This window comes from Homo sapiens, chromosome 18, assembly GCF_000001405.40.
Source record: "Homo sapiens chromosome 18, GRCh38.p14 Primary Assembly".
In the NCBI taxonomy this organism is placed as follows: domain Eukaryota; kingdom Metazoa; phylum Chordata; class Mammalia; order Primates; family Hominidae; genus Homo; species Homo sapiens.
In genome coordinates, this window is record NC_000018.10 from 12,900,990 (window position 1) to 12,924,097 (window position 23,108).

The following is a 23,108-nucleotide window of genomic DNA, read 5'->3' on the forward strand; positions in this document are numbered from 1 at the left end:
TAGGTTGTATGGACTGTAGCATGGACTACACAATGTGGTATATGGTATGAACAATCAACACAGTTTCCAAAGCTTGTTATGTGGCTACTGAACCATTAATATCATACTTCTCAATATCTGCCAATAAAGAGGATCAAAATAGTTAGTTTTTACTTGGAATGAACAACATTCATCACACTCACTGTCTTGCCCCAGAACCTCTACTTTCTGTCCCAACATAGCCCACCAGGGTCTTGATCTTCTTGGCATCTGCAGAATGTCACATCAGCCCACTGTTTGAGGATGTCATGTTAACTGGACCTGGTGAGCGGGAAGTTGCAAGTCCTCTGGCTGCCTTGGTGAGACGTATGCATCAGAGTGTAGCAGGTACACTGTAAATATTAAGAAATCCAGGCCGGATGCGGTGGCTCACTCTTGTAATCCCCGCACTTTGGGAGGCCAAGGTGGCGGATCACCTGAGGTCAGGAGTTCGCGACCAGCCTGACCAACATGGAGAAACCCCGTCTCTACTAAAAATACAAAATTAGCCGGGCATGGTGGCACATGCCTATAATCGCAGCTACTCGGGAGGCTGAGGCAGGAGGATCCCTTGAGCCTAGGAGGTGGAGGCTGCAATGTGCCATGATTGTACCACTGCCCTCCAGCCTGGATGACAGAGCAGGACCCTGTATTGAAAAAAGAAGATAAAAGAAAAGAAAATTCATTCCCTGTTAAAGTTTTTAAAAGATGAAATGGTCTGAGCATGATGAAACATTCTAGTGTAAAGAACATATCATTGCACCTTGCCCTCCCTACCACTGAGAAAGAGGCAGAGCATTTGGAAGTCCTCTTTGAATTTTGGAGGCATCATGTGCTACACTTAGAAACTTTGCTTCAACCCATTTATCAGATGACTTACAATTCTGAGTGGCGCCCAGAGCACGACCGGGTTTTGCATCGAATCGAGGTCCTGGTGCCCCTCCTCCCCTCGCTGCTGGAGGTTTCTTAGCTGCAGTTCATGCCCTCCATCTGGTTCCCTATGACTCCTTTCTCAGCCCATCGCCATCTGGCCGTACACGGTCATGTGTTGTTGTCCTTGTTGTTTTTTCCTGCTGTTGCCTCCTCACTCCTCCAGACATGATCTGAGACCACCCCAGCCAGCTCTTTCTTTCACATGGCCCACACTCTGGCCACAGAAAGCAGCCACGCATCTTTGCCCTGGCAAGCTTGAGGTGATACTTAATTTTATGTGTCAATCTGACTGCACCATGGGGTGTGCACATTAAACACTATTTCTGGTGTGTCTGTGAGGGTGTTCAGGATGGGACGGACATTTGAACTGGTGGCTCAGAAAAGTCGATTGCTCTCCATCCAATTCGTTAGGGGCCTGAGTGAACCACAAGGGGAGGGTGGGGGAATTCACCCATTTTTTTGGTCCTGCCTCACTGTTTGAGCTGGGACACAGGTTTCCTCCTGCCGTTGGGCTGGAATTTACACCACTGGCTTCCCTTGTTCTCAGGCCCTTGGACTTGGATTGGAATTACAGCCGTGGTTTTCCTGGGTCTTGAGTTTTCAGATGGCAGATCGTGACACTTTTTACCTTCATGCTCATGCAAGCCAGTTCCTCATAATCTCTCTCTTCTCTCTCTCTCTCTCTCTCTCTGTGTGTGTGTCTACAATATGTGCCATATAACAAGGTTTTGTTCAACAACAGACCGCGTATATGACGCCAGTCCCCTAATATTATAATGGAGCTGAAAAATTCCTATCACCTGGTGATGGAGCAGCCATCGTAACATCTTAGCACAGCTCATTGCTCATGTGTTTGCAGTGGTGCTGGTGTAAACACACCTGCTGTGCTGCCAATCATATAAAAGTCTAGCATACAATTACATAAGGTATGGCACGGTGGCACACGCCTGTAATCCCAGCACTTTGGGGGGCCGAAGCAGGTGGATCTCTTGAGGTCAGGAGCTTGAGACCAGGCAGACTAACATGGTGAAATCCCATCTCTACTAAAAGTACAAAAATTAGCTGGGCATGGTGGAGCATGCCTGTAATCCTAGCTACTTAGGAGGCTAAGGTACGAGAATTGCTTGAGCCTGGAAGGCAGAGGTTGCAGTGAGCCAAGATTGCACCACTACACTCCAGCCTGGATGACAGAGCAGAACTCTGTCAAAAATAAAATAAAATAAAGTAAAATAAAATAAATACAATATGTAAGGTACATAATACTTGATAATGGTAATATATGACTATGTTCCTGGTTTATGTCTTTATTTTTATACTTTTAATCATTATTTTAGAGTATACTCCTTCAACTTATTTAAAAAAAGTTAATTCTAAATCAGCCTTAGGCAGGTCCTTCAGGGGGTATCCAGAAGAAGGCATTGTTATCCCAGGAGATGGTATGCATGTTACTGTCCCTGAATACTCCCAGTGGGACAATATGTGGAGGTGGAAGACAGTGATGATGATCCTGACCCTGTGTAGGGACAGGCTAATGTGTGTGTTTGTGTCTTAGATTTTTTTTTCTTTTTTCTTTTTTTTTTAAGATAAGGTCTCACTATGTTGCCCAGGCTTGTCTCAAACTCCTGGGCTCAAGTGATCCTCCCTCTTCAGCATCCTGAAGCTCAGATTACAGATACACGCCACCATGTCCAGCTTGTGTCTTAGCTTTTATCAAGAAAGTTTGAAAAATTTAAAAGAATTAACATTTTTGAAAATAGAAAAATAAGCTTTCAGAATAAGGATATAAAGAAAGAAAACATTTTTGCACAGATGTGCAATGGGTTTGTGTTTTATTTACTTATTCACTTTTTTTTCAGTTGCCCCAGAACTGAGCAGGTATTTATTCATTTATTTTTTGAGACAGGGTCTCACTGTGTTTCTCATGCTGGAGTGCAGTGGTGTGGAGACAGGAGTTCAGCAGGACTGATTTTGCAAAGTAGAGGTCACAAAGACCCCGATGCAGTAAAAAAGCTGGCCCAAACCCACCAAAGCCAAGATGGTGTGGAAAGCAACCTCTGGTCACCCTCACTGCTCATTATACAATAATTATAATGCATTAGCTTGCTAAGAGACACTCCCACCAGTGCCTTGACAGTTTACAATGCCATGGCAACGTCAGGAAGTTACCCTACATGGTCTAAAAGTGGGAGGAACCCTCAGTTCCGGGAACTGCCCGCCTTCTTCCTGGAAAACTCACGAATAATCCATTCCCTGTTTAGAATATGGTCAAGAAGTAACTGTAGAAATAGCTGACCAGCAGCCCTCAGGCTCCTCTGCCTACAGAGTAGCCACCTGTTCCTTTACTTTCTTAATAAACCTGCTTTCGCTTTACTCTGTTGGCTCACTCTTGAATTCCTTCCTGTGTGAAGCCAAGAACCTACTGTGGCCTTCCAGGCTGAACCCCAATTTTGGGTTCACTCTGTGACAGCACAACCAAAGCTCACAGCAGCCTTGACTGTCCGGGTTCAAGCCATTCTCCCACCTCAGCCTCCCGAGTAGCCGGGACTACAGGCATGCACCACCACACTAGCTAATTTTTAAATATTTGTGGAGATGAGGTTTCACCATGTTGCCCAGGCCGGTCCCAAACTCCTATGCTTAAGGAGTCTTTCTGCCTCGGCCTTCCAAAGTGCTGGGATTATAGGCATGTGCCACTGTGCCTCCATGGGTTTATGTTTTAAACTATTATTACAAGAGTCACAAAGTTTAAAAAGTGGCAGTGTGCGGTGTCTCACACCTGTAATCTCAGCACTTTGGGAGGCTGAGGTGGGAAAGATTGCTTAATCCCAGGAGTTCAAGACCAGACTGGGCAACATAGGGAGATCACCGTCTCTATAAAAAACAAAAACAATAACTAGCCGGGCATGATAGTGTGCACCCATAGTCCCAGCTACTTGGGAAGCTGAGGCACGAGAGTTGCTTTAGCCCAGGAGGTCGAGGCTGCAGTGAGCCATGACCATGCCACTGTACACCAGCCTGGGCGACAAAGCAAGACTCTATCTCTACAAATTTTAATTTAAATTTAAAAGATGTTGTGGTAAGCTAAGGTTAATTTATCATTATTGTTGTTGTTATTTTGAGACATGATCTCACTCTGGCACTTAGGCTGGAGTGCAGTGGTGCAATCACAGCTTACTGCAGCTTTGACCTCCCTGGCTTAAGATATCCTCCCTCCTCAGCCTCCTGAGTGGTTGAAGCTACAGGCACGCCCCACCAAGCATAGCTAATATTTTAGTTCTTTTTTTTTTTTTGTAGGGACATGGTCTCCCTATATTGCCCAGGCTGTGTTGAACTCTTGGCCTCAAGTAATCCTCTTGCCTCAGCCTCCCAAAGTGCTGGGATTATAGGTATAAGCCACCACACATGGCCTAGGCTTGAGTTTTAGTAGTTTCATTTAAATGTCCTGCTGCAATGTATTTATTCAATCCCCTGTTGTTGGACATTTAGATTGTTTCCAACTTTTCACTATTAGAATAACAGTACAGGGCCGGGTGCTCACACCTGTAATCCCAGCACTTTGAGAGGCCGAGGTGGGCAGATCACTTGAGGCCAGGACTTGGAGACCAGCCTGGCCAAGATGGGGTAACTCCGTGTCTAGTAAAAATATAAAAATTAGCCAGGCATGGTGGCACGTGCCTGTAATCCCAGCTACTGGGGAGGTTGGGGCATGAGAATCGCTTGAACCCATGAGGTGGAGGTTGCAGTGAGCCAAGATTGCACCACTGCACTCCAGCCTGAGCGACAGAGCAAGACTCTGTCTCAAAAAAAATACAAAACAACCACCCCCTCAAAAATAAATAAATAACAGTACAATTAAGAGCATTTGGATACCCGTTGTCCAGTTTCCTTACAGAGACACCATACTCATCCCTTTCCAATCAGTACTGTGCTCTGTGTGACTAGGGCAACCAAGCCTGGAAATACAAGTCGGCCTTGAACACCAGGACTATTCCTGGTGTGCAGCATCCCGGACAAATGCACACAGCTTGTTCTAATACAAATACGTACACAACTTGTTTTTAAAATGTGTTGCAACATTCATAGGCCCACATGATGTATATAGATTTATTGATAAATTATGATGGATTTAGAATAATAGAGAGATAAGAGGGACTTCTGTATTTAATCATCCAGCCAATGCACATGAAGGTTCTCTGTAGTGTCCAGGCGCCATCTCTTCTTGCTCTTTATTGTCAAGTGCCTTTCCTGGCTAAGGTCATATCTCCAGGAGGAAAAGGTAGCAAAGCTATGAGCACTGCCCATGCTGTGGCTCTCAGGAACCCATTTGTGCTGAAGCAGTGTCGACCTTCCTGTCTCTGCAGCTGCCTGGGACTTATACCCTGCTGGTGGCATCCCCTCTTGTGAGGTTGCAGCATCGCTTGCTGTCGTGCATGCTGGCTTCTGCTGATGCTCTCAAAGCTGCTTCTGGACTTCCTTGATTATCACCAATGCCAGTCCTACCTGCAGGATGCATGAGAATACAAAGGCTGGTGCCTCTTCTGGTCATTGTAAATTCACCACTTGGGATTTTATAGCATGAAGGTGGAAGAGAATCTTCCATCCATGTCTTTTGAACTCTTTAGCATAATCACTGAAGTCTTAGAAAGTGATCTCTCTCAAGGCTGAGCCCACCCTGGTGTCCACACCCTGCCACAGTGCGGTGGGGGGTAGCAAGGAGCCTACACCTTCCCAGCAAGCCAGAAGCTCATCCTGAAGGACTTGAGCCTGACCAGGTAAAATGAGAGATTGTCACATTGACTGCAGGCAAGAGAGGACAACTGCAGGTCCCATTAGCAGTGGATAGCAAAGGTCACGCAAGTCCTCAGAGGACACAGCATGTGGCCTGCAGAGGGGCTGAAGCGACCCCTTTGGGTGCTAGAGGCAGGGGCATGGGTATAGGACACTGCGGCCACCCCCCCACCCTCAGGTGCTGTGGCCTATGGGCAGCATCGCACCCAGATGGGCCACGCTCGTCCACACACATGCCTGTCAGTAACTGAGTGCTCTGAGCTGGCCATGAACCTGAGGCAATCGAGAGTCACCAAAGCCAGTGTGTCGGTGACACTCTGGTGGCCCGGCCGCTTGAGATTCCAGGGGAGAGGCACTGTGCCAGTAAGAGTTTGCATGGACTCACTGCCCTCCAGGAACTGTCCATGGACAGGGAATCTTCCCCACCCTCTTCCCACCCCTCCAGCCCTGGCCAGCACTTTGGGCTGTGGATCTGCACTCACGGTGGGAAGTAGAGGGTCAGAGTGTGCTCTGAAGAAGAGAAATGGGTACAGAAACCCCTGAGAGTCCTGGTCTGGGCCTGGGGTGCCCACCCAGTCGGCCAGACCCAGTGGGGGGCTTGGAACATGTTACGAAGGTGGCACAAAGCAGGCTTCTGAGGCACAGCACCTGCCTCTAAAGGCTGAGTCCCAACCGCAGCAGTCGCTGAATGGTGACTTTTTCTGTCTATTCACTGGAGCGAGGGGTTGTTCTTATTACCACTGTTGGGGGTGGGGAGCAAATGTGGAAAGCTTTGTGCCTTCCAGCCAGAGGTACCCCAGCACTCTGTTTAGCCAGACTGTTAGTAAATGTACAGTAATGGCTTATAGAATAAAGAAAGAGAAGTTCGGGAACACATCGTTCTCATCCACTAAAAATAACTTTGAATGCTTATTTTTTTTAGTAATACTCTTTTAGCTATAGATTTGCTTCATAGGCTCTTGAATCCTTGACTCTCTCCGGCTAAGCTCTGAGACTAACTTTTAAAATGTTGTTTTAAGGAAGGCTAATGTTTTTACAGGGCTTGCCAAAATAGATAGGGATGACTTTTTAAAATAACAGTTCCAGGAAATATGTAATGACTTTTTTTAAACAAAGGATTCAGAATCTGGATTGTGGAAAATGCTGTATTGATGCTTCCTACAACATTTTTGGGAATCTTTTAAAATGAAAGTAATGATTTAATTAACAAAAATATGTGGCTTAAGGGACTGTTTGTGGGGCACTTTGGATTGTTTAAAGCTAATTTTTCGGCTGAGCGCAGTGGCTCACGTCTGTAATCCCAGCACTTTGGGAGGCCGAGGCGGGCGGATCACCTGAGGTCAGGATTTCGAGACCAGCCTGACCAATATGGTGAAACCCTGTCTCTACTAAAAATACCAATATTAGCTGGGCGTGGTGAGGGGCTCCTGTAGTCCCAGCTACTCGGGAGGCTGAGACTCAGAGGTGGATGTTGCAGGGAGCCGAGATCGTGCCACTGCACTCCAGCCTGGGCGACAGAGAGACTCCGTCTCAAAAAATAAAATAAAATAAAATAAACCTGATTTTTCATCTTTTACAAGCGGGAAGGAAATTTTCCATACATTATGAGAGTGAACAGTGATTGTTTCTTTATTATATGGATTTTTAAACTCGCTCAAATTTTAAGTATTTACCCATCCTGGGTTTTTAGACTCTAGCATCCGCTTTCAAATGAAAACTTTATGCAAGCAGTTTTGCCTTTCTAATGTTTTTCCAAGGAACAAAGAAGAGAAGGAGATGGAAGGAAGGAAGGAAGGAAAGAAGGAAGGAAGGAAGGAGGGAGGGAGGGAGGGAAGCAAAGAAGAAGAGAGGAAGGGAGAGAAAGAAAATAGAAACTTCTGGATTCATAATTACGGACCACCTAGCTAATCATATCCACTTTGTGTCTGTGTTTAAAGGACAGGACAAACACACTACGCTTTCAGCCTGATTTCTCAGTGACACCGCCTTGCAAAGACTACTTGTATGTTACTCTCTGCTTTACATGGCTACGTTGTTTGAGGGCAGGAGTTGGTGAGAATTAGTTTGGAAAACTGACTTCTCTCATTCAGACATAGCTTTTCTGGAGCAGAGTTTTCCAGAACATTTACTGGCAGCATAACATAGATGATGTCACAGAAGTAATTCCCGCACTGCCAAGCTGCTTAATTCCCCTGTTAAATGCTGCCCTGATGTCAGCTGCCCACGCCAGGAAGACTGCCAGAGGTGTGCTGCATTCACAGACTCCTTACCACCCCCAGGAAAGCCACCCTTTTCACTAACATTAATTTCAAATAATAAGTTATATTTTTCTAATCAATATTTGATTTATTTGAGATTTGAAATTTTAACTAAGACTTTTAGAAGTTAATTCATTTCAAATGATAGAGCCTGATCTCATGACACCAGTGTCATCTATAGTGGGGCTGGGAAAAGACATGAAGTTGTGGTTTTCGTATGTTTGCCACATACAAACATATAAAAGGCAAGATGGTACTGAAAAATACAAAAGAATCAAGAATGTTAGCATTTTTTAGAAATGCATATGCCCCGCCCTCAGAAAGATGTTTTAAAAAGATATCTAATTCCCATATATATATATATATATATATATATTTTTTTTTTTTTTTCTTTTGAGACGGGGTCTCGTTCTGTTGCCCAGGCTGGAGTGCAGTGGCGGGATCTCGGCTCACTGCAAGCTCCACCTCCCGGGTTCACGCCATTCTCCTGCCTCAGCCTCCCGAGTAGCTGGGACTACGGGCTCCTGCCACCACGCCCGGCTAATTTTTTGTATTTTTAGTAGAGACGGGGTTTCACCATGTTAGCCAGGATGGTCTCGATCTCTTGACCTCGCAATCCACCTGCCTCGGCCTCCCAAAGTGCTGGGAATACAGGCGTGAGCCACCGCGCCCGGCTAATTCCTTTATATTTCTAGTCCTAACTTTCAACGTTTTGGATATAAAATGGCATTTTGTATAATAGAAGACCTTGAAGGTCTTTTTATAGTTCTGTTATTCTAAGAACTCATTGCTTCATCAAAGGAGAGAACTGGACACAGGAATTTAGTGGCCAAGAAAGACCTTCGCTATTAACACTCTTATTCACGTTATATTGCAGTACTGCGTGGGGATGAGTGAGTATCTGGGCTTACTTAGAAGGTACTCTGGTATTTATAAGAATGAAGAGCACCAGTTCATTTTCAGTAAATCTACTGCCATAAATCATTGTGTTCACATCTCTATCAAACATAAATCAAGCCAGGCGCGGTGGCTCACGCCTGTAATCCCAGCACTTCGAGAGGCCGTCACGGGCGGATCACGGGTCAGGAGATCGAGACCATCCCGGCTAACACGGTGAAACCCCATCTCTACTAAAAATACAAAATATTAGCCGGGCGTGGTGGCACACCGCCTGTAGTCCCAGTTACTCTAGAGGCTGAGGCAGGAGAATAGCTTGAATCCGGGAGGCGGAGGTTGCAGTGAGCCGAGATTCGGCCACTGCACTCCAGCAGCCTGGGCAACAGAGCAAGACTCCGTGTCAAAAAAAAAAAAAAAAAAAGAAAGAAAGAAAAGAAAAAGTCCCAGACACGAGTGCCTTCTGTTTTTTTTTTTTTGTTTTTTTTTTTTCTCGAGACGGAGTCTCCCACTGTCACCCAGGCTGGGGTTCAGTGGTGCATCTTGGCTCACTGAAACCTCCGCCTTCCGGGTTCAAGCGATTCTCCTGCCTCAGCCTCCCGAGTAACTGGGATTACAGGCGCCTGCCACCACGCCTGGCTAATTTTTGTATTTTTAGTAGAGATGGCGTTTCGCCATGTTGGCCAGGTTGGTCTCGAACTCCTGACCTCAAGTGATCCGCCTGCCTTGGCCTCCCAAAGTGCTGGGATTACAGGCGTGAGCCACCACACCCGGCCAATACTATTTTTTAATTCTAGCTAATATATACAAATTTTATTGATCTAGATGTACTTTAGAGCAAATTTTAAAAGTCCACCAAAATCTTGTTGGTCGAAACTCTTTTAAATATATAGATTAATTTGGGGGAAATTGCCTTTACAGTATTGAATCTTCCTTTCCACTTGTTCAAATCATTTGTGCATAGTGCAGTGCTTATAGAACTCTCCACATATGAATTCTGCGTAATTTTTCTTAATAATAACAGCGAATACGAATTGAACTCTTACTATGTCGGAAACTGTTTTAAGTACTTTAAGAGTATTAACATTTTAATCCACAACCCTACAGATAGTTCCATTGATTAATATTATTCCTACATAATAGCCCGCGCTGCTCAGCAGACTGGGAGGCCCGGCGTCCCCGGGCGAACGGAGGCTACAGGTTGGGGCAGGCCGGGTGGGGCCCAGCGAGTGGGCGGGGGCGCGAGCGGGAGCGGAAGCGGGCCCGGGCCGCACTGCTGCCGCGTCTAGCCGCCTCCCAGGCTGCCTGCGCCGCGTGGCTCGCCCCCGGGACTTGCCAGCAGCGAGTGGGGCCTGACTAGCTCTTCACCACGCTCCACTGCATCGGCAAGGGCTGGTTCTGGGAGAGGCGCAAGGGCATCGACCTCCGCACCAATCAGGTGGTGGTCATTAGGGCAGTGGACCCGGAGGAGGCCGAGGACGCCCAGCAGGAGAACCCTGCGCTCAGCTGTGCTACAGCCCCGAGTCACCGCTGCTCTTGCTGCTCTCTGTGAGTTTCCCCCGGAGGCCCAGAGCGGCGGCAGCGCGCAAGACTTGCAGAACTCGGGCCCCCTGGAGGAGACCTAACCGCCACGGTCTTGGGGAGGTTCCGGAGGGCCTCGGTTGTCTGCACTCCCAACACCAAGAAACCCCTGAGACGCGAAGCTGCCAGCGTGCTGCCCTCAGAGCAGGGCGACGCAAAGCCAGCGGACCCCGGGGTGGCGGGGCAGCCCACAGACACGCAGGTCGACTGGAACAGTTCTTGGCAGCCTCTTCTGGAGGGCGTCTGAGGTCGTCAGCAGCGGCCTACGACTTCAAGGCAGGCTTCTGACCCCTGGGGATCACGCCCATCGGACTAGCCAAGGAGGAGCCTTCGCACTCCGACCTGCACCGCATGCGCGCCCAGTTCCTGATCCCCAAGAGCAGCCCGTCTGAGCTGGAGGACCGCGGCAAGCCCTTGGAGGAGCTGGCAGGCCTGGCCCGACGAGGACCCCGCGTCCTGACACTGTCAAGGAGCTCCGGGAGCGCAAGGCGACCGCGCGCTCCGCCAACACCTTTTCTTCCGGGGTTCATGGGCGCTGCCGGCGCTGGAAATCCCAGGGGCACGGCGAGGAGCCCAGCTCCTAGGATCCCGACATCGCCAGCGCGGCAGAGGACGCGGATCAGGCCTCCCCGCAACCCGGCGTCCCTCTACAGTCCGGCCGAGTCCACGCAGCAAGCTGTACTGGAGGACGGCCCTGCACGGCTCGCAGAAGCCCGCGGAGCCCGTCGAGAGGCCCCGTGTTCGTCCACGCTGGGCGGCGCGCCTTCCGGGAGCGCAGAGAGAAGCGCAGGCAGAGCGGCGGCCGCAAGACCCGCCTTGGAGCTCCACGAGCCGGTGCTGCACACGGCAGAATCCCCTCGACGTGGGCCCGCAGAGCCGGGGACAGAGAGAGTCTGAGCTCTGTTAACAGTGGTGCTGACTTGGAAGGTGCCTCGTGTGCGTTGGGCCTACAGGCCACGTCTCCTCCCACCCCTGCGCTGTGCCGTCCTGCACGCGGGGATGCGGGTCCCTGCGACCATCTCCCCTCCCCTCCTGGCCCCACTGCAGCCACACCAGGCAGCGGAGCCCGACCCCTCTGCGGGCCCGCGCGGCCCAGTGGCTGCTCAGACTAAGGAGCACAGCAACTATCGGGCAGCTCTGCCTCCTTCTTCCACGGGTTATTGGGGAGGCGACAGGGCAGCCCCCAGAGGAGCGCCCCAGCCGGGCCTTCTTATCCTGCCCCGGGCCGCTGTGCTCTCGGCCCGTGATGGCCATAGATTTGCCTTGTGGTGTTGGATCAGGAACTGTGTCTGCTCTTAAGTGCTTGTGTGATCCAGAATGTTTTGTTTTTTAAGGAAATTGGTCTTTTCAGTTGGGTGTTGAGTGGTTTTCCAGATCACGTCTGATGGATCCTCGGATTATAACAGAGAACATGGCGGCCCAGAGGGAATGGACCCAGATGGTGTCATCTAGAGCAACTGGGATGAGATTGTTGATAACTTTGATGATATGAACTTAAAGGAGTCTCTTCTTCGGGCCATCTATGCTTATGGTTTTGAGAAGCCTTCAGCTATTCGACAGAGGGCTATTATTTTCTGCATTAAAGATCCAAAAAGTAATTCCGGCACCTGGAGACTATATGGGAGCCTGCATTGTCTTGCTTGCATTGGTGGAACAAATGTTCGAAATGAAACGCAAAAACTGCAGGCCGAAGCATCACATACTGCTGTTGGTACACCAGGGAGAGTGTTTGCTTTGTTAAACAGAAGATATTTTCTCCAGAATGGATCAAAACCTTTGTTTTGGTTGAAGCAGATGAAATATTGACCCAAGGGTTTAAGAATCAAATAATGAGATTTTCCAAAAATTAAATACAAGTATTCAGGTTGTGTTGCTTTCTGCCACAGTGCCAACTGATATGTTGGAAGTGACCAAAAAATTCATGGGAGATCCAATTTGAATTCTGGTGAAAAAGGAAGAATTGAACCTTGAAGGAATCCGTTTTATATTAATATTGAGAGAGTAATGGAAGTTGGATACACTTTGTGACTTGTACGAGACACTGACCATTACACAGGCTGTTATTTTTCTCAATACAAAGCACACTGTCAACTGACTGAGAAAATGCATGCCGCGGACCTCACAGTTTCTGCTCTGCGTGGTGACATGGACGAGAAGGAGAGAGATGTTATCATGCGGGAATTCCAACCAGGGTCAAACCGTGTTCTGATCACTACTGACTTGGTTTGTGGGACTGATGTGCAATAAGTGTCTTTGGTTATAAGCTATGATCCACCTACCAATTGTGAAAACAACATTTGCAGAATTGGCAGAGGTGGTTGATTTAGGAAGAAAGGTGTGGCTATAAACTTTGTTACTGAAGAAGGCAGGAGGATTCTTGGTGACACTGACACTTTCTACAGTACTACAGTGGAGGAAATGCCCATAAATGTGGCTGACCTTATTTAATTCCTGGGATGAGATAGTTCTGGATGCAGTGCTCAATGTTGTTGAATGGGTGATCACAACCTGCATTATGCCTCTTTCTTTGGGAATATTTGAATCTTGTCTCAATGCTCATAATGGGCCAGAAATACAGATTTTGATAGCAAAGCAACATTAGTCATGAGGTCTTGTGAGGAAAGTCATTGGCTTTATCCTCTTTAGAGTTAGACTGTTGGGGTGGGTATAAAAGATGGGATTTGTAAAATCTTTCTTCTTTAGTAATTTATTTCTTAGTTCTGTAGAAATGGTTGTATTCAATGTTCTCTATCATTTAATACTATACTTGTGGACTAAAAGATACAAGTGCTGTATAAAATCAGCTAACTATGTTAAATGACCATATCTGTCTTTACTGCGTTTGTCATTAGCCTGAGTAGAAAGGCCTTTCAAATTGTTTTTTAAGAAAGCATTTGAATGCATTTTGTTTGGTATTGTGTTTTTTGTTTTTTGTTGTGAGACAGTGTCCCGCTCTGTCACCCAGGCTGGAGTGCAGTGGTGCCATCTTGGCTCACTGCAGCCTTGACCTCTTGGACTCAAGTGGTCCTTCCACCTCAGCCTCCCCAGTAGCTGGGACTACAGGCACTGGCCACCACACATGGCTGATTTTTGCATATATTGTAGATACAGGGTTTCACCATGTTGCCCAGGCTGGTCTTGAACTCCTGGACTCGAGGATCTTGCCCACCTCAGCCTCCCAAAGTGCTGGGATTACAGGTGTGATTACTGGCGCCCAGCCTTTGGTATTATATTTATTCAATAAAGTATTTAATTAGTGCTAAAAAAAAAAAAAAGAAAATTGAATTTGTTTCCTTAAATATCCTTAGGTTAAGATGTTAGTTTTCATAAAACATTGAGAAGCCTCTGCCAATTTCAATAAAGACCTGACTTGGAAAAAATATATATGTATACACACACACACACACACACACACACACACACACACACATATAATTCCTATATAATTTATATTTTTGTTGCTGTGTTGAGTGGGATGATTCCCCTTTGCATTTTCTAGCTGAATAATGATGATATAGGAAAGCTATTGATTTTTGTAAATATGTTTTGTAACTGGTGCATATCTCTTTTTTGTTTTAACAAGTTAAAGAAGCCTGGGCAACATGGCGAGATCCCACCTCTATAGGAAATTTAAAAAATTAGCCAGGCATGGTGGCATGGAGTGAAGTCTCAGCTACTCGGGAGGCTAAGTGGGAGGATTGATTGGATCCAGAAGTTTGAGGTTGTACTGAGCTATGATTGTACCACTGCACTCCAGCTTGGGTAATAGAGCAAGACTCTGTCTCAAAAAACAACAACAAAAAACAAATAAGTTAAAGAAAGTAACAGCCCTGTAATCCCAGCACTTTGGGAGGCCAAGGAGGGCGGATCATGAGGTCAGGAGATTGAGACCATCATGGTTAACACGGTGAAACCCTGTCTCTATTAAAAATACAAAAAATTAGCCGGGCGTGGTGGCGGGCGCCTGTAGTCCCAGCTACTCAGGAGGCTGAGGCAGGAGAATGGCGTGAACCCGGCAGGCAGAGCTTGCAGTGAGCCGAGCTCTCGCAGCTGCACTCCAGCCTGGAGACAGAGCGAGACTCCATCTCAGAAAAAAAGAGAAAGTACCAGCTCAGCAACCACTTAAGAATGCTGCTCTATAATAAATAACGTATGATTATACACACTTATATTAGCATAAGCTTTTTAGTAAACTTTATTTGAATATCATTTGCCACATATTGATGTTTTTGTCAAGAACAGACCACGTATACAATGGTGGTACCATAGAATTACAATGGAGCTGAAAAACTCCTTTTTTTATTTTATAATTTTTAAATCTTATTTCATTTCATTTATTTTTTATTATTTCTTTTACCTAACAATAATAACTTAAGCAGAAAAATTCCTAATGCTTAGTGACATCTTGATGATCCTGACCCTGTGTAGGTCTAGGCTAATGTGTGTATTGTGTCTTAGTTTTTAACATAAAAGCTTAAAAAGTAAACAATAAAAATTTCTTAAAATAGAAAAAAGCATATAGAATAAAGATATAAAGAAAAGTAATATTTTTGTACAGATATACAATATATTGTGTTTTAAGCTAAGTGTTATAAAAGAGTCAAAAGTTTAAAAAATTTTTAAACGTTTATAAAGTTAAAAAGCTGGCTGGGTGCAGTGGCTCACTCCCGTAATCCCAGAACTTTGGGAGGCCGAGGCAGGAGGATCATTTGAGGTCAGGGGTTCAAGACGAGCCTGGCCAACATGGAGAAAGCCCATCTCTACTAAAAATATAAAATATTAGCCGGGTGTGGTGCTGGGTTCCTGTAATCTTGGCTACTCTGGAGGCTGAGGCAGGAGGATCGCTTGAACCCGGAAGGTGGAGGTTGCAGTGAATTGAGATCCCGCCACTTTACTCCAGCCTGAGCAACAGAGTGAGACTCTGTCTCAAACAAACAAACAAACAGAAAAACCCAAAAAGTCAAAAAGTTACAGTAAGCTAACGTTAATTTATTACTAAAGAAAGAAAAATGTTTTTTACAAATGTAGTGTAGCCTAAGTATAGGGTGTTTGTGAAGTCTGCAGTAGAGTACAGTGATGTTCCAGGCCTTCACATTGCTTCAGAGCAACTTCCAATCCTGCGAGCTCCATTCATGGTAACTGCCCTATACAGGGTTATCATTTTTATCTTTTGTACTGTATTTTTACTCTATCTTTTCCATGTTTAGATATGTCTAGATGCACAAATACTTACCATTGTGTTCCAATTACCTACAGTATTCAGTACAGTCACATGCTGTACAGGTTGATAGTTTAGGAGCAATGGGCCATATCATATAGCCCAGGTATCTACGAGGCTATACCATCTAGGTTTGTGTAAGTCCACTGTGTGGTGTTCACACAATGACAAAACCTCCTAATGACACATTTCTCAGAACATACCATTAAGCGACATATGACTGCTTTTGTCATTAATCATATTTAACAATAAGAATTACTATCAACTAAGAAGATTCCACTAAGTGACAACACTGTATTTGACACATTACATATGCAATCTCATTGAATCCTTGCCACAACACTGTGTAGTAAGAATCGTCATATCCATTTTACAAATGAAAAACTGAGGCTCAGAGAAAATCAGTAACTTCTCTAAGATCATACATTTCTACTCTGTTGCTTTGTATAGAACTTGTAAACATACACCACCTGTTCTCAAGTTTTAAAATTTTTACCGGGCATGGTGGCTCATGCCTATAATCCCAGTGCTTTGGGAAGCCAAGGCAGGAGGCTCACTTGAGGCCAGGAGTTTGAGGCCAGCCTGGGCAACAAAGCATTTGTCATTAATTATAGAGACCTCATCTCTACAAAGAAATTTTAAAAACTAGCTAGGCATGGTGGCACATGCCTGTGGTCCCAGCTACTCAGAAGGCTGAGGCGGGAGGACTACTCGAGCCCAGGAGTTCAAGGTTGTAGTGAGCTATGATGGCGCCACTGTACTCCAGCGTGGGTGACAGAGTGGGAGCCTGTCTCTAAAAAAAAACCTAAATAAATAAAACTGTTAATTATAAAAGACTGTAATTAGACTTTGGTAGTCTAAGATAAAGAGAAGTGAAGAGGGCCCAACGTGGGTGAATTTCTGCAGTGCTGTGTTCTTAAAACCTGGGTTTTAGCATGCACGTCTTCCTCTCTATAATTTCACTATAGTTTGAGATAAGGAGGTGTGATGTTGTTGTCTGAAGGTGGCTTCTGAGTCCATGAGTCTATGAATGTCTTATCTGAGTCTCAAAAAGCTTTAATTTCTCAGTGTGGTGAGAAAAAAAACTCAAAAAGAAAATTATATTGATCACTTCCCAGACTCAAAAGTATTAATATTTGCCTTTTCTGTCTCTTTTATTTTTGTCCAAGACGGAGTCTTGCTCTGTGCCCAGGCTGGAGGGCAGTGGCACAATCTTGGCTCACTGCAACTTCTGCCTCGTGGGTTCAAGCAATTCTCCTGCCTCAGCCTCCTGAGTAGCTGGGATTACAGGCATGTGCCACCACACCCAGCTAATTTTTGTATTTTTAGTAGAGATGGGGTATTTTTAGTAGAGACCATGTTGGCCAGGCTGGTCTTGAACTCCTGATCTCAGGTGACCCACCCACCTAGGCCTCCCAAAGTGCTGAGATTACAAGCATGAGCCACCGCGCCCAGCCTACCTTTTCTTTTAAAGTCTATTTTAAGTTGTGCTAAGGCTTTATTTCAAGGTGTCTCATAAACGCTACCTTTCTCCTTAATATTTTCACTTTGTTAGCTACACTAGAATTAACTCAGACCTGTTAGCAATGAGACTATCATGTTCTTCCATTCTCCTGAAGTTGCCTGCTCTCAGGCAGAGGTTGTGACAGTTTTATGAGGTGGTGCCATTTCTGGTTTTGTTTGTTTGTTTGTTCTGTTTTTTATGAGACAGAGTCTTGCTCTGTCACCCAGGCTGGAGTGCAGTGGTGCAATCTCGGCTCACTGCAACCTCCACCTCCTAGGTTCAAGCGATTCTCTTGCCTCAGCCTCCCTGGTAGCTGGGGATACAGGCGTGCACCACCATGCCCGGTTAATTTTTGTATTTTTAGTAGAGATGGGTTTTACCATGTTGGCCAGGCTGGTCTTGAACTCCTGACCTTAAGTGATCCACCTGCCCCAGCCTCCCAAAGTGTTGGGATTACAGGCGTGAGCCACTGCACCCAGCCCATTTCTGGTACCTAAAGCTTTTGTGTTTCTTTCTCTCTCCTCCTAGTCTAACACTTTTAGAAATTTTATCATTTCTTTTTTCTTATAATGAAATACTTAACTCCAGCTTTTCATAACATGCCAGGTATGTAACCGAAAAAGGTGCTTTCTCCTTCTACTTGGAAATTATAACCTTTCTTTCTTTAAGGCAACTCTTCTCACAGCTTATGGTTATGATCTACAGATCTTTATGGTAGTCTCAACTCAGAGTTGCCCTTAAAACAAAGTAGGGTCTACCAGTCATGTAAGTTATTTGACTTCATGTAGACACACAGGAAAGGTTGATTGTACTGAACTCAGGCAGGTCCGTTTGTTGAACTGAAAGCCTGAATCTAGCCAGTGATATTTCCAACCCAGTTCTGTTGAGAATTAGTTAATAACCTTCAGCTTGGTATAATGCTTATAAAATTTATTAGATTTGAATAAATAAATTGAAGAGAACCCTGGTTTGGAAATTCAAACATACATATACGTGACTATGGGAGAGAAAGGTACAATGAACTGTGATTTGGTAAAATGTCACATTAAAGAATTATTATTTTATAACTTTAGCAGCTTTAATAAAAGCTGCTAAAAATAAACTCAAGATGGATCAAGGATTTAAATCTAAGACCTGAAACTATAAAAATTCTGGAAGATAACATCAGAAAAACCCTTCTAGGCCGGGTGCAGTGGCTCACGCCTGTAATCCCAGCACTTTGGGAGGCCAAGATGGGCGGATCACGAGGTCAGGAGATCGAGACCGTCCTGGCTAACATGGTGAAACCCCGTCTCTACTAAAAATACAAAAAATTAGCCGGGCACGGTGGTGGGCGCCTATAGTCCCAGCTACTCGGGAGGCTGAGGCCGGAGAATGGTGTGAACCCGGGAGGCGGAGCTTGCAGTGAGCTGAGATTGCGCCACTGCACTCCAGCCTGGACGACAGAGCGAGACTCTGTCTCCAAAAAAAAAAAAAAGAAAAAGAAAAACCCTTCTAGACATTGGCTTAGGCAAAGATTTCATGACCAAGAACCCAAAAGCAAATGCAATAAAAACAAAAATAAATAGCTGGGACTTAATTAAACAAAGAGCTTTTGCACGGCAAAAGGAATAGTCAGCAGAGTAAACAGGCAATCAACAGAGTGGGAGAAAATCTTCACAATCTATACATCTGCAAAGGACTAATATCCAGAATCTATAATGAACTCAAACAAATTAGGAAGAAAAAAACAAACAATCCCATCAAAAAGTGGGCTAAAGGACATGAACAGACAATTCTCAGAAGAAGATATACAAATGGCCAACAAACATATGAAAAAATGCTTAACATCACTAATTATCAGGGAAATGCAAATCAAAACCACAATGCGATACCACAATGTGATACCACAATCCTGCAAGAATGGCCATAATAAAAACAATTGAAAAATAATAGATGTTGGCATGGATGCGGTGAACAGGGAACGCTTCTACACTGCTGGTGGGAATGTAAACTATACAGCCACTGTGGAAAACAGTGTGGAGATTCCTTAAAGAACTAAAAGTGGAACTACCATTTGATCCAGCAATCCCACCACTGGGTATCTATCAGAGGAAAACAGTCATTATACGAAAAAGATACTTGCACACGCATGTTTATAGCAGCACAATTCACAATTGCAAAAATGTGGAACCAACCCAAATGCCCATCAATCAACAAGTGGATAAAGAAACTGTGATATATACATATATATATACATACATATATAATATATATATACATATATATATATATACAATGCAATACTACTCAACCATAAAAAAGGATGAATTAATGGCATTTGCAGCAACCTGGATGAGACTGGAGACTATTATTCTAAGTGAAGTAACTCAGGAATGGAAAACCAAACATCATATGTTCTCACTCATAAGTGGGAGCTAAGCTATGAGGATGCAAAGGCATAAGAATAACACAATGGACTTTGGGGGATAAAGGGCAAGGGGTGGGAAGGGGATGAGGGATAAAATACTACAAATTAGGCCAGGCACGGTGGCTCACGCCTGTAATCCCAGCACTTTGGGAGGCCGAGGTGAGGTCAGGAGTTCAAGACCAGCCTGCCCAACACGGTGAAACCCCATCTCCACTAAAAATACAAAAATTAGCCGGGCATGGTAGCAAGCACCTGTAATCCCAGCTATTTGGGAGGTTGAGGCAGGAGAATCGCTTGAACCCGGGAGACGGAGGTTGCAGTGAGCCGAGATCGTGCCACTGCACTCCAGCCTGGTTGACAGAGCGAGACTCAGTGAAAAACAAACAAACCTACAAATTGGGTGCAGTGCGTACTGCTCGGATGATAGGTGCACCAAAATCTCAGAAATCAGCGCTAAAGAACTTATTCATGTAACCAAACGGCACCTGTTTCCCAGTAACCTATGGAAATAAAAATTAAAAAAAAAAATAAATAAAAGCTGCTGAAACCACTTAGCCTCCTTCACAGTGAAAATGGTGCTATGTTTTTCACGCCTATTTGCAAACTTTGTGCCAAACTAAATGTTAACAAGAACTTTAAAGAAAAGTTTCACCTCCAAACCACAAACAGTGCTCTGAAAGTGCAAAAACAGCAAAAAGTCAAACACAAACAAGCCTAAAGCTTTGTGAGGCCAGAAGAAACCACAGGTCATAGAAAAATACACTTTCCCTTTCACACTCTCAGTATCATACTCGGGGGCTGTCATGAGAGCGAGGGTGTCTGGGCTTAATACAGTCACCTTGCAGCACCTAAGCCATGACACCTCAGCTATCTGCGTGTAGCACAAGGAGGACACCGAACAGGGATGGAATGTGCACATCACTGAGAGCGTTTTTATGTTGACTTTCCTCTCTGTATCAGCACCAGAACGTCTTCCTGTTAGCTTCAGTGGTCTCTGTGTTGTCAAGGAAAATGACCCACAGTAACTGTCTACTCACCAGCTTTGCCTAAGTCACACTTATAAGGCTCTTGATGCGTAACAGGCTTATTAGTTTCCAAGCAGGTAGCATTGATTGGTAAAGGAGGAAAAGACTCCCCATTTATGCTATCAATCAGCCTCTCTTACAGTAATCTTTTAGGCATTTCAACAGCAAAATAGGCAGGTGTTTACCAAAAAAGCCTTCATAAGCACATCAAAGTTCATATTTTAGCTGCTTAAGAAAAAAAATTAACTATGGGACATTTCCATAAACAATAGACCAGGCACGGTAGCTCATGCCTGTAATCCCAGCACTCTGGGGGGCCGAGGCAGGTAGATCGTCTGAGGTCAAGAGTTCTAGGCCAGCCTGGCCAACATGGTGAAACTCTGTCTCTACCAAAAATACAAAACATTAGCTGGGCGTGGTAGTGCACGCCTGTAATCCCAGCTACGTGGGAGGCTGAAGCATGAGAATCACTTGAACCCGGGAGGTGGAGGTTGCAGTGAGCTGAGATCACACCACTGCACTCCAGCCTGGGCAACAAAGTGAGACTCCATCTCAATAAATAAATAAATAAATAAATAAATAAATAAATAAATAAATAAATATTTTGTCTTAATGACTCATTTGCAGAAGTCAATGTATCACTCAAGGCAATGAAGTTTAGCATTATAGAGTTCAAGATCATATACAAAGACCTGTCCTCAAATTCCCCTCAAATGAAAAACAGTATGCCAGTAAGCTTAGTAAATAATTCGTGGAAAAAAAAATACATCTCTAGAAAATGATTTTTTTAAATTTTATTCATTAGATTGCACTGTTTATAACAGCAACAAATTGGATGCCTGCCAGTAGAAAACTGGTTAAAATACTGGCACATAGTAAATGCTCACTAAATGCTTACTGAATGAATACATGAATGATAACAGTTTCCATTGCTTCCAAAGCTCCCTTGCTTCCCTCCTATTCTCTAGGCTCCTGTTGATTCTGTGAGCTCCAAAAGCTCTCCAGTAAATCTTGTCTCTGTTTATGATTGCAACCCAAAAAAGCTGATGGATACATAATATTAAATGTGGTAAAAAACCAAATTCACTTTATACCAATTCCATTCTACAAACAATATTATATTTCAGTTCAATATAATTATAAAGGTATAGTTTTAGAATTAGTTCCGTTGTTTCCTGATATACCAAATCCTACTTCAACCCTTAAGAGGTTTAAAAATAAAGTGAGGTCTCTTCACTTGACATATGTATCAGAATGGAACACTGGTAATTAGAAGACTTATCAGAGATCATAAGCTCCAATGGACAGAGATGTCCCAGACAGTCACAAGGTGAAAAAAGGTACACCAGTGACAATTAGGAAGACGCACAGGTTGGTGGTAGGCATATTGATTTAGTCGCAAGTAGAATTGGCCAAGTAGGACAATGAAGAAGGATACTGAAGGATATTGAAAGGATACTGAAAAACAGGGTCAAGGAAAGCAGAAGGCGCTCTTTACTGGAGGACTTAATACAAAATAGGTAGCAGGGAAACCCAAGATTATCCTATTCAAAATATGGGACCTGAAGGGCAGATCTAGTAGGGGAAAGCAGTTCTATGCTGTAACTTACACTCCACAAGTACTGCCATCCAAATAGCCTGTATTTGGGCTGGGTGCCGTGATTCACACTTGTAGTCTCAGCGCTTTGGGAGGCTGAGGCGGGAGAATCATTTGAAGCCAGGAGTTAAAGACCAGCTTGGGTAACAAAGTGAGAGCCCATCTGTACAAAATAAAAAGTTAGCTGGGGCCAGGCGCTGTGGCTCATGCCTGTAATCCCAGCACTTTGGAAGACCGAGGCAGGTGGATCACCTGAGGTCAGGAGTTCGAGACCAGCCTGGCCAACATGGTAAAACCCCATCTCTACTAAGAATATAAAAATTAGCCGGGCGTGGTGGCACGCGCCTGTAATCCCCGCTACTCAGGAGGCTGAAGCAGAAGAATTGCTTGAATCCGGGAAATAGAGATTGCGGTGAGCCGAGATTGCGCCACTGCACTCCAGCCTGAGAGACAGAGTCAAAACAAAACAAAACAAAAAACAAAAAACAAAAAAACAAAACAAAAAAACAACCAAAAAAAAAACTTTAAGATAAAAGAATGTATGAGTTGGCTTTCATTCATTTATGGTTTGAACAAATATATTTGCATTTGCCAAGATGTATTAGTCCCTTATTCTACCTTGATAAAACCATGATCCGGGTGCAATGAGGCATGAGAAACCTTGGCAGCAATTGCCTTCATGCTGTCCAGAGGCAGAAACATTGTTTCTAGGTGGGAGCTCCTGATTCCAAACCTCTCACCTGGAAGTGACCTTGAGTGGGTGATAAAATCTCCCTTCTCACCTCCATCTTTTACATTGAAAACACCCTTAATTTCAGTGAGAAATGGAATCAGTATAATGATGGATGAATCACAAATACACACACACACACACACACACAC

The 23,108-nt window shown here is 44.8% G+C and overlaps 2 pseudogenes, besides 1 other annotated feature; both read left to right on the forward strand.

Annotated features, from left to right (window-relative positions):
* Positions 10,043–10,242: a silencer, noted in NCBI's record as "silent region_9322". NCBI's record gives its function as "represses an Ori minimal core promoter by ATAC-STARR-seq in GM12878 lymphoblastoid cells {active_cell/tissue: GM12878}" and the evidence as "EXISTENCE:reporter gene assay evidence [ECO:0000049][PMID:35858748]".
* Positions 10,228–11,275, forward strand: STK25P1 (serine/threonine kinase 25 pseudogene 1; annotated as a pseudogene).
* On the forward strand, positions 11,816–13,217 carry EIF4A2P1 (eukaryotic translation initiation factor 4A2 pseudogene 1; annotated as a pseudogene).
* Positions 13,218–23,108: the final 9,891 nt, after the last annotated feature.